Here is an 18697-nt window from a genome sequence, read left to right on the forward strand (position 1 = left end):
AGTGTCTTTTTTGTATAGTGATTTCTTTTCCTCTGGGTGAATAGCCAGTAGTGGGATTGCTGGCAGAAATGATATGTGTCTTTTGCAAAAATCCAAACCAGAAAAGAGTAAAATTTATATACTATGTGTGAAAAGCCCCCTCTAAATCCTCTTGTCTAGAGAAAACCACTTTTAATAACGTGTAATTTCTTTTCTGTGTATACACACACACAAATACAAACACACACAATGACATTTCAAAATCGTGTGCACATCACATTTCTATTCAGTTTTCCCCTACCTCATGGCTGTATAGAAGTCTGTTGTTAAGGTGGTATTATAATTTAATCAAAAATCCACCTTCTGATCAACTAAGTTGTTCTCAACCTTTTGCTTTTAAAAACATTGCTGTTGTACTTCTTTGTAGACATTGTCAGGTAACTGCAGGAGAGGCAATAAATTTTAAATGGATAAGAGAATGAATTGTTTGCTTCTTGAATTAATGCTTTGAATCATCAACTGGAATAGGATATGGAGTTGGCAGCGTGTATCACAGTAACCTCTCCCTGAATTTGGAGCCCTATAAAACAAGTTGTGATAATTTCAGTCATTTCAGAAAAGCTTCTGGGTCATAAAGGAGAGCTACTATTCCAAATTCCCACCTTTGTCTTTGGTAGCCAAGGATGCAATCCTGTCAGTAGTCATCCATTTTCGCAGGTATCTGCTGGGTCCCTACTTGTGTTGAATATCATGTCAAAAACTGAGCAGGAAGGGATTAGCAAGACAGTCTCTATCTCTGCCACAGGTGTGACATGCAGTCGTGAGGTTGTGCATTGCTCCAAGATGCCTAAGCAAGGGGGCAGAGAGGGTGACACACCTTGCTCACAAGCCATGCACCCTGGAATGGGCTGTGCCCACCCAGGGTGAAAAAATGGACTTAATGGCTACTAGAGGCCCAGATCATAACTCTTCTGTAATAATAATAATAATAATAATGATAATAATCATTATTATTATTATTATTTTACCATTTGAGATGGAGTTTCGCTCTTGTTCCCCAGGCTGGAGTGCAATGGCATGATCTCGGCTCACCGCACCCTCCACCTCCTGGAATCAAGCCATTCACCTGCCTCAGCCTCCTGAGTAGCTGGGATTACGGGCATGCACCACCACGCCCGGCTAATTTTGTATTTTTAGTAGAGATGAAGTTTCTCCACGTTGGTCAGGCTGGTCTCAAACTCCCGATCTCAGGTGATCTGCCTGCCTCAGCCTTCCAAAGTGTTGGGATTACAAGTGAGAGCCACTGTGCCTAGCTCCTCTCCTGGAATGATTAGATTTAACTTTGTTCTCCAATTCTTAGACCTGTGACTCTGAATAGGGTGGGGATGTTCATCTTGATTTGCCTTCTGCTAGACCAGGAATGAAGAGATGGATGATATTACTCCTTTTGATGTTTTTATTCTTGAATAGATATGTTGGATTCTCTGTCTCTTGCCCCCTGCACCCCACCGCATGCACATACACACACACACACACACACACACACACACACATACATACATACACCCCAGATTTCCTTTGAAGGAGTGCATAGTCTATTTTTGTTGTTGTTGTTGTTGAGGTGGAATCTCATTCTGTTGCCCAGGTTGGAGTGCAGTGGATTGATCTCAGCCCACTGTAACTTCTGCCTCCGGGATTCAAGTGATTCTCCTGCTTCAGCCTTCCGAGTAGATGGGATTACAGGTGCATGCCAGCACACCCAGCTAATTTTTGTATTGTCAGTGGAGATGGGGTTTTGCCATGTAGGCCAGGCTGGTCTCGAATTCCTATCCTCAAGTGATCCACCCTTGTCGGACTTCCCAAGTGCTGGGATTATAGGCGTGAACCACCGCACCCGGCCGGAGTGGGTAGTCTTTATTCAAGAAAATTCCCAAATCAGCAAATAGCTTGTGAGCTTACAGGTGAGGTTCTGAGGGAGTGGGTTGTAAGGAAAGATAGAAAACTATAGAGGAGTCCATGAATAAATGTGATTCAGAGGGGAGGGGGAATATGAAAGAGAAGAACAGGGTGGGTAGGAAGATCAGAGGTTGGAGAAGAAGGAACAGGATGGCCTCAAAGAAGCCTAGAGCTGAGGTGGCCAGAGCATGGTTAAGGACAGCCTCGTCATCGGTTATGGGCTGTGTGCCTTGTTGTTGTCATGGACTGGCCCTCCTTCGACACCCCTGAGCAGTCTGGTGAGGAAGGGGTGAGTGTAAACCATCTTTGCCCCAGTCTGCTGTCAGCCGATGCACTAGGATGACTCTAACCGGCATGTCAAGGCAGACTTCAGCAGCATCCTTGGATGAGTGCGCACTGGGTGGATACAGGACAGACAGCCAAAGGAGTGCTGCTCCAACCCATGCGGCATCTCTCCCAGGTTGTGAAACAACTCGGGGGTGGTGCAGGATCCACGCTGGGGACTGCACAGACACAGCCACCAGTAGCCTTGCTCTCATTTGAGTTTTTCTTTCTTTACTGATGACATCAGAGAGAAAGCCCCAGATTGCTGCATTGGTGTTCTTTTTTTTTTTTTTTTTTTTTTTTTTTTTTTTTTTGACAGTTTCTTTCTGTCGCCCAGGTTGGAGTGCAGTGGTGTGATCTCAGCTCGCTGCAACCTCCGTCCCCTGGGTTCAAGCGATTCTCCTGCCTCAGCCTCCTGAGTAGCTGAGACTACAGGTGCCTGTCATCATACGTGGCTAATTTTTGTGTTTTTAGTAGAGAAGGGATTTCTCCGTGTTGGCCAGGCTGGTCTCAAACTCCTGACCTTAAGTGATCTGCCAGCTTCTGCCTACCAAAGTGCTGGGATTACAGGTGTGAGCCACCACACCTGGCTGAAAATAGGATTTTTACGGATGTCACTCATTAAGGATCTCTAGGTGAAATCATCCTGGACTTAGAGTGGACCCTAAGTCCAGTGGCTGGTGTTTCAATAAGAGAAATGGAGGGAGATTTGAAAACACAGAGACTCAGAGGAGAAGGCCACGTGAAGACCAAACTAGAGCTAAGAGTGATGCAGCCACAAGCCAAGGATGCCAGGACCACCAGAAACTGGAAGGAACAAGAAAGACCCTCCCATGCAGTCTTTGGAGGGAGTGCGACCCCGCCAGTACCTTGCTTTAGGATTTCTGGCCTCCAGAACTGACAGAGAATACATTTCTTTTGTTTCAAGCCACAGTTTTTGATAAGTTGTTACTGCAGCCCTAGGAAACTAATTCACTAGAGGGCTGCAAACTAAGGCCTGAGAGCCAAATCCAGCCTGACACCTGTTTTTGTAGATTTTATTGACAGAAACACAGCCTTATTCATTTACGTATTGTCTATGGCTGCTTTCACTCTGCAAGGGCAGAGTTGAATAACTGCGACAAAAACCATCTGGCCTGCAAAGCCTAAAATATTTACTATCTGGCCCTCTGCGAAAAAAGTGTGCCAACCGCTCTTCTAGGGAGGTGTTTAATTTATGTGCTTGTCTGGGGATGCTGCGGGGTAGGGGATGTTTGTAGTGAGAGTCTGTCTTTAACAGCGCAGAACCACACAAGGTAAGGATTTTTTTTAAACTTACATTTCAATTTTTATGAAGCAGGTTTTTTCCTCCTTAGAGGAAAAACATGAAATGTTCCAGAATAGTTGACAGCATTAGCTACATTTAAAAGATTCAAGGAAGCAAAATGGTTTTCCGTCTGTTGAATCAGTCAGCATTAAAGTTCACTTATCAATGATGGCTTTTCTATGAGCAGCAGCTTTGTATTAAAATGGCTAATGGGAATGTGGTTCCCCTAGCAAGCTTTGGTTTGATCTAGAATTTTTGGAGAGTCTGAGTGGGTTTTCTTCTTCTCAGCATGAAATGGACCAAGGTCTGTTTTGCAGCTGAGACATAAAGGAAGTGAAACCTTGTCTGATATGTGCTAGGGTGCAGAGCCAGGTAGGAAATGGGAAAGAGTGTACCTCAAACCTCAACAGCCACATTGTCCACCAATTCTCATTGCATGTGAATTCGTGAACCTCATTGGCGAGCTCAAAGAGGTGGCTATAGGAAACCTAATTATAAGCATCATTTGGCTCATACTGGTACAGAAAACCTTCAATTAAGTTGCAGAAAAATGGCCACACACAGAAGAAAGAAGTTAGAAGGGTTTTTCTGGTATTCTTGGTTTACATCTCAGTGGAAGCAATTTTTATGTCTTCTGCATATTTCACTGAGAAGCCTCCACCACTTCTAGCCATAACTTCCTTTCCTTCCTGTTACAAATTTTCTTCCTAGATTTACTCTTCAGTCCCTAAAAATATCCATAACACATTATTTATTCACTCCATAATGTACACCATCCAAATACAACAATTTTGCCAATAAACTGTTATTCTAATGAATAATTCATGCAGTCTTCATTCTCCTGACATGAACAAATATACTTTCAAATAGGAGGAGTGTGCCTCTATTTTTGTCTTAACTCCATTTCTTAATGTCATATATATTTTTAAAGGTTTGTGATGTCCTTCCTTGGATGAACTCCATGGGGAATAATTCTGATACTCTAATTAAGAGCAATAAACTATAGCACAGAAATATAACTAGATTTATAGACAGTGTTTGTTACAGTGACAGTGTAGTTTGCATGTGGAGGGAGGAAGTAGGCAAATCATTCAGTGTCTCAGGGCAGGAAAAATGTGAAGTTCTCACCTATTAAGAAGGCAACACCAATAATTGTTTCAAATTTTGACAATATTCATGGCCATAGTTTCCTCATATTTATATGAACAGGATGTGATGATAATGGTGACGATGAAAATCATAATAACATATTATTATGTGATGTAATGCTAAGAATTTTGAGTTTCTATGAGATACTAGCCATTTACTAAAAGCTTTGCATATATCAGGGTTTCTGAATCTCAGCACTATGGGTATATTGGGTCAGATAATTACTTGTTATGGGCCAGGGGTTGGGGGATCCACTGTGCATTTGCACGATGTTTAACGGAATCCCTGACCTAGGGTATCTGCTAGATTCAGTAGCACCTGCCTCTTCAAGTTGTCACACTGAGAAATGTCTATAGACATGGCCTAATGTCCCCAGGAGGGTAAAATCCCCTTGTAGAAAAACAGTGATGTACATGATTAATTGCATCTTCAACACATTCCTACCAGGTAGGTGCATTATCAGTCCCATTTACCAGTGAAGAAACAGAAATTCAGAGTGAATGACAGAACCAAATTTTGGTGCAGGGTTTACTACTACACCAATGTCAAGACTATTTTGTTGCATATGATGATACAGAGCATTAATTCATCTGCCTTCTCCTCTTACATGGGTATTTTCACATTTTAAAAATGTATAATTGCAGGGTGCAGTGGCTCATGCCTGTAATCCCTGCACTTTGGCAGGGCCAAAGCAGGCTGATCGCTTGAGTCCAGGAGTTCAAGACCTGCCCTGGCAACGTGGCAAGACCCTATCTCTACAAAAAAAATAAAAAAAATAGCTGGGCATGGTGACACACGCCTGTGGTCCCAGCTACTTGGGAGGATCAGGTAGGAGGATCACTTGAGCCTGGGGAGGCAGAGGTTGCAGTGAACCAAGATTGTGCCAATGCACTCTAGCCTAGGTGATAGAGGAAGACCCTGTCTCAAAATAAATAAATAAATAAATAAGTATTTGGTGTATGCATGCTGGGTAATTAATATATCTTATGTTTTGCACAGACAGAACTTCAAATTTCCAAAACCCCTTTTATAGAAACTGTAGCATGATGACCAGATTAATACTTTTTAAAACAATAGCAATAATAACAGTAACAATTTATCCTCCTGCTCCTCACCACTGTTAATTGAGCACTCTGTTTTTAGAGATGGTGTCTTGCTCTGTCTTTCAGACTGGAGTGCAGTGGAGCAGTCACAGCTCACTGCCGCTTGAACTCCTGGGTGCAAGTGATACTCTCACCTCAGCCTCCTGAGTAGCTGAGACTACAGGCACAGGTCACCACACCCAGCTAATTAAAATTCTTTTTTTTTTCCAAGATAGAGTCTTGGCGTGTTGCCCATATTGGTCTCAAATTCCTCAGCTCAAGTATGAGTAGATGGGATTGCAAGTGCGAGCCACCACTTCTGGCTAATTTAGCACTTTCCATGTGAGAAACTAAAGGATTTGACTGGATCACCTGTTTAATTCTCACATCTTAGAGGTACCCACTTTGGGTATCTTTTAGCCCTAAGCTGTATAATTCAGAGTTGTTTTGTTTTCTTTGGGTTTGGTTTCTGCTGTATCCTCACATACAGTGAAGTTTCCATACACCTTGGTTGAATGAATGTCTTCATGAGCAGCTACAGTCTTAGGGAAAACATGTAGCTTATTAAGGTGGTGACAGAGCTTCCACTTAAATCCAGGAGATCCCTTGCCCTTAAATCCTCTGCTGTCTGCTCTGCGCAGTTGAGGGTTTCATCAAAACGTCCAGCTCTGCTCTCAGCCATCTGGTTGGGTCTGTCTTTTATGACTTTATTTGTATATCAGGTTTCCTTTTGCAGGTGATCCTAAAACACACACTCTCCCGTCTTGCTCCAGTCTGCTCACCCTCTGCCTCTCACCTGCGATGTCTCCTTCATTTCCATTTGTCTGAATCTTATTTCTTGTTGGAGGTCCAGCTCCATCCCAGCTTTCTTCCCAAACCCTCTCCCTATGTCTTGGGCACTCTCAAGGCCTTACTTGCCACCATTGCCAGTCGGCAATTGGCGAGGAGCTGCACAAATCACAGGCACCCAGTACTAACTCCCAGGTCTAACCCTCCATGAACTATGCTCTTAGGAAAGCAGCTTAAAGTCCTTGAAACCCCAATTTCCTCATCCCTATGATGAGGACTGCAGTGTCATTGTACATCCCAATTTGCTGTGAGGGTTCAGTGGGAAAATGCTTAGCTGAGCACTTGACACATAGTATTTTCTTGATGAATTCCTGCCACCGCTAATGTCACTTTATCCCTGTTTTGTATGTTCCCTGGTTGCTTTATGTATGTGTGCTTTTGAACTAGATTGCAGGATTATAGAAAGAGATTTCTTTCAGTGTGAATCCTTAATGTGACACAAAATTCAGCACAAGGGGTAAAACTGTGGCCAAGAGGCCGCCTCAGTGTTTAGAATGTAATTTTCTCTCTTTATGTTCTGAACCGTGGTGTCTTTATCAATGACATGGAAGGGGCCATTTCCATTTACTTCACCATGCCAGAAGGGCCATTGCAAATGGATTTAGTTATAGGGTAAGCAATGAGCTTGTGTTTTCTGAACAGCTAAGCCTCAGAACTGTAATAACTCATTATCAATCTGTCTCCATACTTCATCAAAGTTCCCAGGTGCTTTGAATTTTGGCTTGGCCATTGTCTTTTTTTAGCTATAAAATTTTGCTTATCGCATAGTTTAAAGTGGGATGATGACTGAGACACATCTCTGCTTATGAGTACCACTTAAGAGAGGATATATCCTCAGGTAGAACAATTTCCAGAGAGGAGATGTGGGCACGGGGTCTGTGCCTGCCCTGGAAGCTGTGTAGTATAGTAGGAAGAATCCTACATTCACAGAGAGGCTGATTTTTGCTTCCAGTTTTGTCACAATTCACATGATATTGGGCAATTTAGAAAAAAATATTGATTTGCTTTAACGTTCTCATCTGTAAAATGAAACATCCCAATTAGATAAGTTATAAATGACCTTTCATTTTTAGAATTCTGCATCCTGGAATTAAAGTGCATTGGAATGAGCCAATAATTCCATATTTTCTTATATTACCTAAAATCCACATACTCTTCAATAAATTTACCACCATAGGGTTTTCAAACCCCATCAAAAAAACCACTTCTTTCATGTAAATGCCCAGCAGTTTATCTCTTTTTACTCCTCAGTACCCTACACATCTTCCTAATAAAGTATATAATAAAAGTAAATCTTCCCACTAGTGTGTTTATAGTGTGAAACACATTGTTATTCCCACCATGGCAGTGGTGGATAAAATATACATATTTCTCTGTCTCCCACAACCACCCTTTGATCCCCAGCCTTTTATCAGCAAATCCAAAGTGCTACCTTCTGCAAATTAGCACTACCTCCTGAGAAATTGTGCCAAGTTCCATTAAATGTAATTAGCATTCCTGTTGTTTCCTTCATATTGGAGAAAAAAAAAAGAAAACTCTCTCTTACTTACTGGGAACACACATCATGCCAAGTTGTAGCAACAGAGGCAGCACAAGGCTGAAAGCAGGAGGCAGAGGGGGATCTTGACACACAATGATGAGTTCACCTACATGGGGGCTCAGGTGGCAGACACAGAGGTGTCAGTCTTGGCTTTTAAAAGTAAAAGTTGGCTTCCCAATGTAGAGTTAAACAGATGGCAGAGTGCCTTCTGAAGTGAGGGTTTAGAGAACATGGGGAGATGGTTATCTGCCTCAATTTGAAACTGACCTGCCATGAGATTCCCAAGGAAGAGACTTGAATATCCTAGAGCAGTTAACTACAAAACTAAAATTTGCCCCCTCAGTATGGTTTTCGTGTAAAAGAATTGCAAAACAAAGAAAAACTACCACGTGTGTATTTTCCCTAGAATTTCCTGGTAGAAATAAGATATTAGTACCCAACAAGTAGAAAAGAATATGAGTTCAGAAGAAAGACTAGGGTTTAGTATCAGACATACTTTTTGATTATTCATATTTCATAAAATCTTATTTTCTTGACTTATAACAAAAATCATACAACTGTTTTATTATTAACGTAAAATTAAAGAAAAACATCACTACTTTTCTCCTCCCCCTTTTATTTCAAATTACGCCACTGACTACGAAAACCTGGTCAAATCCAACGTGCATTTAGAAACCATAATTTGAAGAAACTAATAGCTGGAGCTCAGTGCCACCATCCACAACAGATGTCCTTCCAAACTCCATTCACTGTCATGCTATAAAACAGAATTCAGAAACAACAGGGTATACGTATATATCTGTGCATTCAGTGACTCTGAAAGGGAGGCACTGGTTTCGAATGTTTTGTGTGAACACGAGTTCCATTTGACACTTTTTTTTTTCTCTCAGAAGTCATTTTGTCTCATTCCTTGCTTACTTCATTGTATTTCAGCATTTGTCATCTCAATTACAGTAGTGCATACTACTTTTACACTTCAACTGCAATATTCAGAAACACCAGGGAAAGAGCAGTAAAGATATTAGGAGGTGGTAATTAAGACTGAGAATGGCTCCAGAAGGGTGGAAACACATTTAGGATGTTTTTTATTTTAATCATCTGTAAAGAAACTAATTCCATAGGCCCATCTACAGTTAAGTTCCACTTGCAGCACAAAGCATCATAAATTGAATAGTAATATTCTTTATCCCAATGTCATACAACTGTTGTCCTATAATACTGTGACGTTGAATCATAAGACACACGTTAAATAACCTATTATGCTCAGTGGTTTCTCTGACAGTTGAGGATGAGACCAAAACGTATCCCACCCTGGGTGACGCAGAGAAACGAAATGAAAGACAAACCATTTGGTCTTCCAAGAAAGAGTTCAGTCAATCACAGTGAACTGGTTGGAGTATATTCATTAAACAAATATTTATTGAGCATCTGCTTTGTGTTAAATGCTGAATGGTGATTTAAGCTCTAGATTTGCCTTTCCTGGACAGGTTGTAGAAATAAATCCACACAATGTGTGATCTGCATCTGGATTATTTAATTTAGCAGAAAGTTTATCCATGATAAACTTTTTTTTTTCGTGAACATGAGGATGAACATGAGGTTCATCCATGTGGATGCATGTATCACTACTTTGTTTCTTTATTATTGAGTAATATTCCATGGTATGGATGGACCACATTTTGTTTATCCATTTACCCATTTATTGATGGATACGTGGATTGTTTCCAGATTTTAACTATTATGTAGAATGTTACTATGAACACTTGTTTCCAAGTTCTTGGGTGGATATATGCTTTCACCTTTCTTGGGTAGATATTTAGGAGTGGAATTGCTGGGTTGTATGGTAAGTTTAAGTTTGAGCTTAAGAAACCACTAAACTGGCTGGGCGCAGTGGCTCACACCTGCAATCCCAGCCCTTTGGGAGGCAGAGGCAGGCCAATCACTTGAGGTCAGGAGTTTGAGATTAACCTGGTGTAGGTGGTGAAACCCCATCTCTACTAAAAATACAAAATTAGCCAGGCGTGGTGGTGGGTACCTGTAATCCCAGCTACTCGGGAGTCTGAGGCAGGAGAATCACTTGAACGCGAGAGGCGGAGATTGCAGTGAGCCAAGATTGCGCCATTGCACTCCAGACTGGGAGACAAAGCGAGACTCAGTCTCAAAACAAACAGACAAACAAAACAAACAAACCATTAAAGTATTTTTCCAAAGCGGTTGCGTTATTCAATATCCCCACCAGCAACATACAAGCATCCAGGTTGTGCCACATCCTTGACAACTATTTGTATTACTTATCTATCTTTCAAATTACTGCCATTCTAGTGGGTATGTGGTGATATCTCATCATCATGGCTTTAATTTGCATTTTCCTGATGTCTAATGATGTTGAGCATCTTTTCAGGTGCATGATCTTTATGTTTGTTTATTTTTTATTTTTAATTCTGGGGTACATGTGCAGGATGTGCACGTTTGTTACATAGGTAAATGTATGTCTTGGTGGTTTGCTGCACCTATCAACCCATCACCTCGGTATTAAGCCCAGCATGCATTAGCTCTTTTTCCTAATACTCTTCCTCCTATCCACCCCAGCCCCCAATAGGCCCCAGTGTGTGTTGTTCCTCTCCCTGTGCCCATGTATTTTCATTTTTCAGCTCCCACTTATAAGTGAGAACAAAGTGCATGATCTTTCAATGAAATAACCTTCTTCGCCTGTGAAATGGGTCTCAGTGAATCTTGAGGAATCTTACATTACTACCTATAATTTCCTTTCCCTTATAAGTCAGCAAAGGCATGGGCAGGGGCCTGAAGTGGGAGAAAGAGCTCCTCCCCCTTTAACGTGGATTCAGAAATGTGTGACAGGGAGCTGAGACTTTCGCTGCCTGGTCATACTCATTGAGCCTATGGGCTGGTTGTGTGAACATGCCACAGGTAGGCACATAGGGCTCATAGGCAAAGGATCCCATTTGTGCATAAGGCACACTTTGAAAGGTAGGGTTTGGATCCATTATCTCACCCCAACAGCTGTGTGCCTCCAGTGTGCAGCTTGAAAGCCACGTGTTACCCTGTCAGTTCAAGCTTCCCGAGGTTACCTCTTCCAGCCACGCAGTAGTTGGTATTATTTCTTTCATTTTTTTGATAAAATGTCTTCCTCTCTCCTTCTCAGAGTAAAGCAAGTCTCTGCACATGTTTCTCAGCTGGGTTGCAGTAATCTAGGAAAAGGTCACTCTTTAGAGGAGTTGAAAGGACTCCAGGTTCTTATATTAGCCCTCTGAGCATATAAAGGCCCAAAGAAACAGACACCAATTCCTCTGCTGCACAGACTTTTAAACCTGGAAAGCTGTAAATGCAGAAACTTAAGTATCTGGGAGGTGCGTGCTTAGCAGCCATCCGATGTGAGTGTCAGTTCATTTTGACATGTAACCAAGATGGACCTCAGCCAATAGCAGTCTCCACTCACAGACCGCTGGTGTGGTTAGGAGCATGTACTTTTAATCAAATTTTTTTTATTGGAATCCCGGTGCTACATGCTAGGTGTGTGATTTTGGACAGGCTCCTTAACTGTGTTAGCTTTGGTTAATGAAACTGTAAAATGAGATTAATAATAATTCTTGGTTCTTAAAATCATGGATAGGATTACATGAGATAATGCATGTAAGTGCTTAGCACCATTTTGCATTTCTTTAGCTTTTATCGTTTTTATGTTATATTTGATTTTACATCTTTGGCACTGGGAAGAATGCCTGGCATATAGAGTGTACTTTGTGACTATAATTTGACCACACACAGTTAAGATATTCATTTATATAATAGATATGTACGAGGTATCTATTATGTGTACGAGGTATCTATTATGTCAGTAAACTATACCTCTCGGGAAAAATCCAGCTCTCCTCTTGTTTTTGTAAATACAGTTATAGTGGAACACAGCCACACCCCTTCATTTGCATATCGATTATGGCTGTGTTTGTGCTACAACGACACAGATGATTAGTGACAGAAACTATATGGGTGGCAAAGCCTGAAATATTTAATGTTTGCCCCTTTACTGGAAAAGGTTTCCGATCCTTGTTCTAGGTATTGAGAATGAAACAATGAACACAATAAGGTGATATTCCTACTTTTATTATAGTCAAGGTAAGACAGACACGACACATATAAATAAATATGTACTTACCTATACACATATGCACAAAACATCTGTGGTAATAAATGTAAAGAAAAAAATACAGAAATGTAAGACAGAGAGAAAGCAGGAATGGGGGGAGAGGAAAATTTTTTAGATATTTCCCATTTAAATGCCTCTAATCTCAGAATAGAATTTTATAGTATCGCTTTAGTAATTCATTTACAAGGTAGTTTTCAATAGAAAAATAAAAACTCACTACCCCATGAAGTCTCATTGAGCACAAAATTCAGGAACCACCCCAGGTTGCAAATAAATTCAGACATTGCCTGTCATAAAAAGCTGGTTCGGAGACAACTCCATTTAGTATTGTAGAACTGTGCAAAGAACACGACACTTTGCTGACTGGCATGCATTTTTGTCCAGGAGTAGTTTTCCCCACATGGAGAATAGCGACAATACAACCGCTTCCAATCAAAGGGGAAATTTGTGCTCCTTATCTAGCTTGATTGTCCATGGATAAGACCAAGTTCAAAAGTGTCAGTTCTACAAGCAAACAAACAAAAAGCCCTGAAGGCCTCAAGAGCTGAGGATGCAAGGAACAAGTAGAGTTTCCAACACAGAGGAATGATAAATGCTGGAGGTGATGGGTAGTGTAAATACCCTGACTTGATCCTTAAACATTCTATGCATGTAACAAAATACCACAAGCACACTGTAAATGGGTACAGATAGTATGTATCAATAAAAAAAAAAAAGAATACAAAAAGAAGTAGATCAGGGATGCTTTATATGGTTTTCTACCTTGTGTCTTATTTTCAGGTGTGTTTTCACAGGCACTACCTTTGTAGAACAGGTTGCTTGCTGTGACAGCTCCTATCTGAGCAAATTGCATTATTAACTAGATTGAACCAGGAGGTAGGGCACTTCCACAAAATTCTAGGACAGGGGTCAGCAAATCTCTTCTGTGAGGAGCCAGGTCATAAATATTTTAGATTTTGCAGGTCTTTTGGTCTCCGCTGCAACTCCTCAACTCTTCTGTTGTAGCACAAAAGCCCCTGTGGACAATGCATAAATGAATGAGCATGGCTGTATTCCGATAAAACTTTAGTTACAAAAGCAGACAGGATTTGGCCTGTGGGTTGTGGTTTACCAGCTTCTGTTCTAGTGTAGTTTTTCCTTTTGTAGGTGTGCTCAGAAGATCAACTGGAGAGCAGACACAACATGCTCACGCTCTGGTTCCTTTCTTCTGACCTATTGATTCAGAATCTCTGAGAGTAAAGGCCAGCCATGTACACTTGTACTGTTGTACAGATGCAGAAAGTCAGTATGTGTCAGGATATGCTGCTGTTACAAATAACCCCCAGGATGTCAGTGACAGCAGCAGCAGCAACAACAACAACAAACAAAAAACATGTTTATTCCTTGCTCATGCAAAGCCCACCATGGGCATCTCTAGGGAAACTTTCCTCCACACAGTGACCTAGTGATTCAATTTGTCAGAGGCACTATCAGCCTGTCGCTTTAGTTTCTGCAACACACAGCCTTCTTGATTGACGTCACTGAGAAAAACCAAGAGGAGAAGGTCTTCCAATGGTAATTAAATGACTGGGTCACTAACAATTTGGGCATAGCTACTTGCAAGGACATGGCAAACACAATCTTCCCAAGTTCGCAGGAGGAGAGAGAAATTGGATATGGGTAAACACTAAATTTTTTTTATTCGTTCATAAATTGATTCAATTGATGTATCGATTGACTGATAATCATTACTAAACAATGTGATGTGTGCATGGCAAAGAACCTATCTGCATGGTATTTATGGGTATATTTCTGTTTCCATCACCAGAATTTAACCAGTTATCTACATAAGTGAAATCTGAAAGGAAACTACTCTTTAGACCTGGGGTCAGGCACCTTTTACTTTATTATACTCTTCTACTTGATGGTAAAAGTCATTATCAGTTTTGTTAATCACATGCCGGACCTCAGATGTATTGCTGTCCTAAAAAGTCAAGCACATTATACTGACCAAATGTGCTTTGATCACAGGTGAGACATCGGGTTTCACACCTGTTATTCTGCAAGTTATGTATAAGGAACATACTTCATACTTCTTTACTTCCTGTACTGATCCAGTTTGGTTGGTTTTACTGATTTGGTTAACAAGATCGTAAATAATAGTGAAGTCTCTCTCTGTTTATGGTTAACACTGCTGGCCCATTATAATTTTCGGTGGCAGTGCATATGGCGGGTGATAAACTAATAAAGCTGCAGTAGGAAGAATAGTTCTGCTTTTATTTTTATGGCTATTTCTTTAATCTGATGCATAATTAATGTACAAAGTTCAACTTCGTTTTGGTCAGATCCCAGATTACTCGAGGCATCCGGAGGGGTTAATATTTTTTGGTGCATTTGGGGGTAGGAGGTTGGGATAAAACAACAAATTTTTATCTATATGGAAGGATGCTTAACCGGGATTTTTTTTTTTTTTCCAAAAAGAAAATACTTAAGTTATCCTTGCTTTCAGAGTTCATGTCCATTGGAAGTGTCAAGAGATTCTGTGTTCAAACATTCTCAAAGCACCGCTTTCCCCTTACCCCTTACCTAAGAGAACATAATTCTAAAAATCCCTTTGGGGAATAATTTTCTCTGCCTTCCATCTCTCTCAATGATGTGTCCAATCTCCACAATTTGTCTGGCCTCCTCTTGAACTGATTTACGGTTCACCAAAATCTGTGAGAGGATTTGCCAGGCTGCAGACCAATTAATTATGTTTGCTGTTAGACCTGTTAGGTGTTGGCATTTCCATTTTGTCAGACATTTTAAATTTAACGTGGACACATGGTTTCCTTTTTTTTTTATATATTAAATTAGGAAGCTGACCACATAGGGGGAGATTCCAACAGCAACACAATGAATTTATTTGAGATGCATTGTCCTTCATTTGTATATAGAACTCTTTAAAAAGAAATTCACCATCTTCCCAGATTTTTTTTTCTTTTTGTTTGAGATGGAGTCTTGCTCTGTCACTCAGTCTGGAATGCAGTGGCATGATCTCGGCTCACTGCAACCTACTCCTCCCAGGTTCAAGCGATTCTCCTGCCTCAGCCTCCTGAATAGCTGGGATAACAGACATCTGCCACCACGTCCAGCTAATTTTTGTATTTTTTTTTTTTTAGTAGAGATGGGGTTTCGCCATGTTTGCCAGGCAGATCTAGAACTCCTGACCTCAAGTGATCTGCCCGCCTTAGACCCCCAAAGTGCTGGAAATATAGGCTTGAGCCACTGAGTCCAGACCTTCCTAGATATTTTGAACAGAGCCTGCTTTTCTCAGAGAAAATATTTCTTCTTTTGTCCACAGCAGCCCTGATATCCATGGTGAATAGTGTGTTAGCCATTTTCTGCCTTGCAGAACTATTATTATAATATAATAATATCCAAAGAACAGTAGCAATTTTTATATAGCATTTACTGTATTTCAGATAATTTTTAAATGCGTTTTACATATATTAACTCTTTATGTCCTTATGTAATGCTCTAGGGAGGGTGCTATAATTATTCCCATTTTTCAGATAGAAAACTGAGGCTAAGAGAAGTTCAGTTACAGATACCACACACAAGAAAGGGACAGCATCTCTGGAAGTCTGACTCCTAATCATGGGTCACTCTTGTCATCAGATGCCGGGCAAGGTGAAGCCCTACATTCTACAGACGTGTTTTCAGAAAGTCTACACCACGTTTATGCACTAGTATTCATTTATCTGGTAGGGTCCTTTGATTTTATTGGGTAGTGCTTTATGGGCTGATAAATGAGGTGACATTAAGGATAGTAACACTGTTTTCTTCCCTTTTCTGTAAAAGGTGAGATGGTTGCCTATGGTGTTAGAAAGGATTGCAAAAGATTTACTTGGGGAAAATTAGCTTCCTCTGCACTCCCCTGCTCCATTTCTACTGTAAGTTATTATGATGAAAAAAAAAAAAAAACCTGCCAGAACATTGGCTTCAAGGTGAAAATATTTAGGCAAAATATTACCACAGGGAAAGTTTATTTTAAGCATCAAGGTTAAAAAGACACATGTGTCAGATTTAGGATTTTATGCTTAAAGCTCATGACATTGCCACAAAGTATTTGGTTGGCAAACTTTTCCTGCAGAGGGTCAGATAATAAATATTGTAGGGTGGTGGACCATACGGTCTGTGTCACAACTACTCAGCTTTGCAGTTGTAGAGAAAAAGCAGTCATAGGCAATGCAAAAGCAATGGAATGTTGCGGCATTGCAGTAAATGTTTTTAACCACAGTCAGCGAGGCTGATTTGGTCCACAGGCCATGGCTTACTGACCCCCTGCTATCAAGGAATGACCAGGGATTTGGAGATAGGCTTTCAATCCTTCCTTGTCATGTGCCAGGTGGACGGCCTTGTGGTTCAAAGACTTCTTTGAACCTTGCGTAGTCACAATCTCTCTAGATGTTAAATAGGGAAACTGCTATGCCCCGATGAGCATGGTCATGAGAACTGAAGGAGTACCAGAACTGAATGAATGAAGTACTGGATTCAGTAAAAGAAATTCCATGTCATCCTTCTCTGCCCTCTCCAAACCCCTTTGGTTCTACTTTTCCCTACCTTGTAATATTTTTGTTAACAAGTGGTAAGAGTTAATTAGGGGTCCCTGAGATTTTTAGGGTGCTTTTACATTTTGGTAAGGCTAGTAGTAGAAAAGTACTACCTAAAAGAGAATTAACTAAATTCCTTCCTTCCTTCTTCCCTCCCTCCCTCTTCCCTCCCTTGCTCTCTCTCTCTTTCTCTCATCTCTCTTTCTCTCTTCCTCTCTTTCTCGCTTGCTTGCTTGCTCTGTTGCCCAGGCTGGAGTGCAGTGGTGCGATCTTGGCTCACTGCAACCTCTGCCTCCCAGGTCCAAGCGATTCGTGTGCCTCAGCCTCCCGAGTAGCTGGGACTACAGGTATGCACGATGCCTGGCTAGGTTTTTGTATTTTTGGTAGAGACACAGTCTTGCCATGTTACCCAGGCTGGTCTCAGACTCCTGAGCTCAAGCGATCTGCCCATCTCAGCCTCCCAAAGTGCTAGGATTAAAGGTGTGAGACACCATACCCGGGCCCCAGAGGAGAGCTTTCTGAGTCACCATATGTGAAGTGGTTCTTACGTAATTTCTACGGAAAAAAAACTCAGCCGTCGAAATACAGGAAGGAAAAGGGTTAATTTCTTTGTAACAGAGATAGTGAATAACAAGCATACCACTGATTCCACCAATCTAATATACATGACACAAATCACTGAAAGATAATAATCTTCACTGATAAACTGAATGAGTCTTCAGAAGCTTGTTCATGACAGTTCTTTAGTCATTGTCAGTGATTCGTAGTTGTCTCATAAAATGAAACCTATTAGGTATCTTTGACCTAGTTACCTTTTAGGGTCAGAGACTTTGGAGATTTTTTCAGATTATAAGCTACATGAAGTTGTTACAGGGTTGCTAGTTTACCTTCGCTTTGTAAACAGTGATGCTCCTCTATAGGGATGTGAGGTTGAATTCCGAGAGTCACCTGCCCCCCTGCAAAAAAAAAGACCAAAAAGTAAAAAGCATCTTCCATTCTTCCTGAAGCCCCCTCTCTTCATGAAATGTCCTCACATTGAAGCCTGATGAATTCGTTCATGTTCTTGGCTCGAAAGTTCTTAGCAGCAGCAGCAGCTGAATTTCTGTTGTCTGTTCTTGTTTTCCTTGTTTTTACCATTTTCTAGATATTTTATGGTGAACTGTTGTTATAGAAATATGGAAACAAGGGATAGTCCTAATACATCCTGTTGCAAAGAACAGAAACCCAGTTTAGACTCAGTTAAGCAAAAAGGGAAAATTTAGCTTTAAAATATTCCATAGATTCCAGAGGATTCCAGAGGAGGAAGAGCGGCAGGAAGTACGATGAAGCAAAGACCAGGAAAGGGATCAGCACCCTGGACAGCATCTCTTTCATTTCTCTTTGGAAATGGAGCCCATCAGATTTGCCTCACCCCTGACTTAGCACTTTGTACTAAATCCCTTAGAAATGCCTTCCCTTAATCTCCACATTCCTGAGTTTTTTATGGCAATTGCATTTTAGCTCAACTTCTATGTCTTCCAAAGATCTTCCCTGTTCACAACAATTACATGCCCTGGTCATAAATTATCTTATTTTCTTTGTTGCTTGTTTATCATATGCACCTTCCCACACTGGAATCTAAGCTTCCTGAGAGCTAAGCCTTATTTAGAACAATGCCTGACACATAATGGGCACACAACAATATTTTTGCTTAAACACATGTATAAGTAAGCGAATGATCCCCTAACTGCCAATTTCCTAGGAGAGAGAATTGAATTGCCCCAGCTGGGATCA

At 40.9% G+C, this 18697-nt stretch overlaps 1 protein-coding gene across 30 annotated transcripts in view, besides 1 other annotated feature; it reads left to right on the top strand.

Annotated features, from left to right (window-relative positions):
• The window catches only part of RBFOX1 (RNA binding fox-1 homolog 1), a 2473620-nt gene that overhangs the window by 1924714 nt on the left and 530209 nt on the right, over positions 1-18697 (top strand). The window lies entirely within an intron of this gene.
• Positions 17111-18310: an enhancer, noted in NCBI's record as "BRD4-independent group 4 enhancer chr16:7231546-7232745 (GRCh37/hg19 assembly coordinates)". NCBI's record gives its function as "activates an origin of replication core promoter dependent on BRD2, P300/CBP, MED14 and CDK7 cofactors, and independent of BRD4, by STARR-seq in HCT116 cells {active_cell/tissue: HCT116}" and the evidence as "EXISTENCE:reporter gene assay evidence [ECO:0000049][PMID:35650434]".

Source organism: Homo sapiens, chromosome 16, assembly GCF_000001405.40.
Source record: "Homo sapiens chromosome 16, GRCh38.p14 Primary Assembly".
NCBI classification, from domain to species: Eukaryota; Metazoa; Chordata; class Mammalia; order Primates; family Hominidae; genus Homo; species Homo sapiens.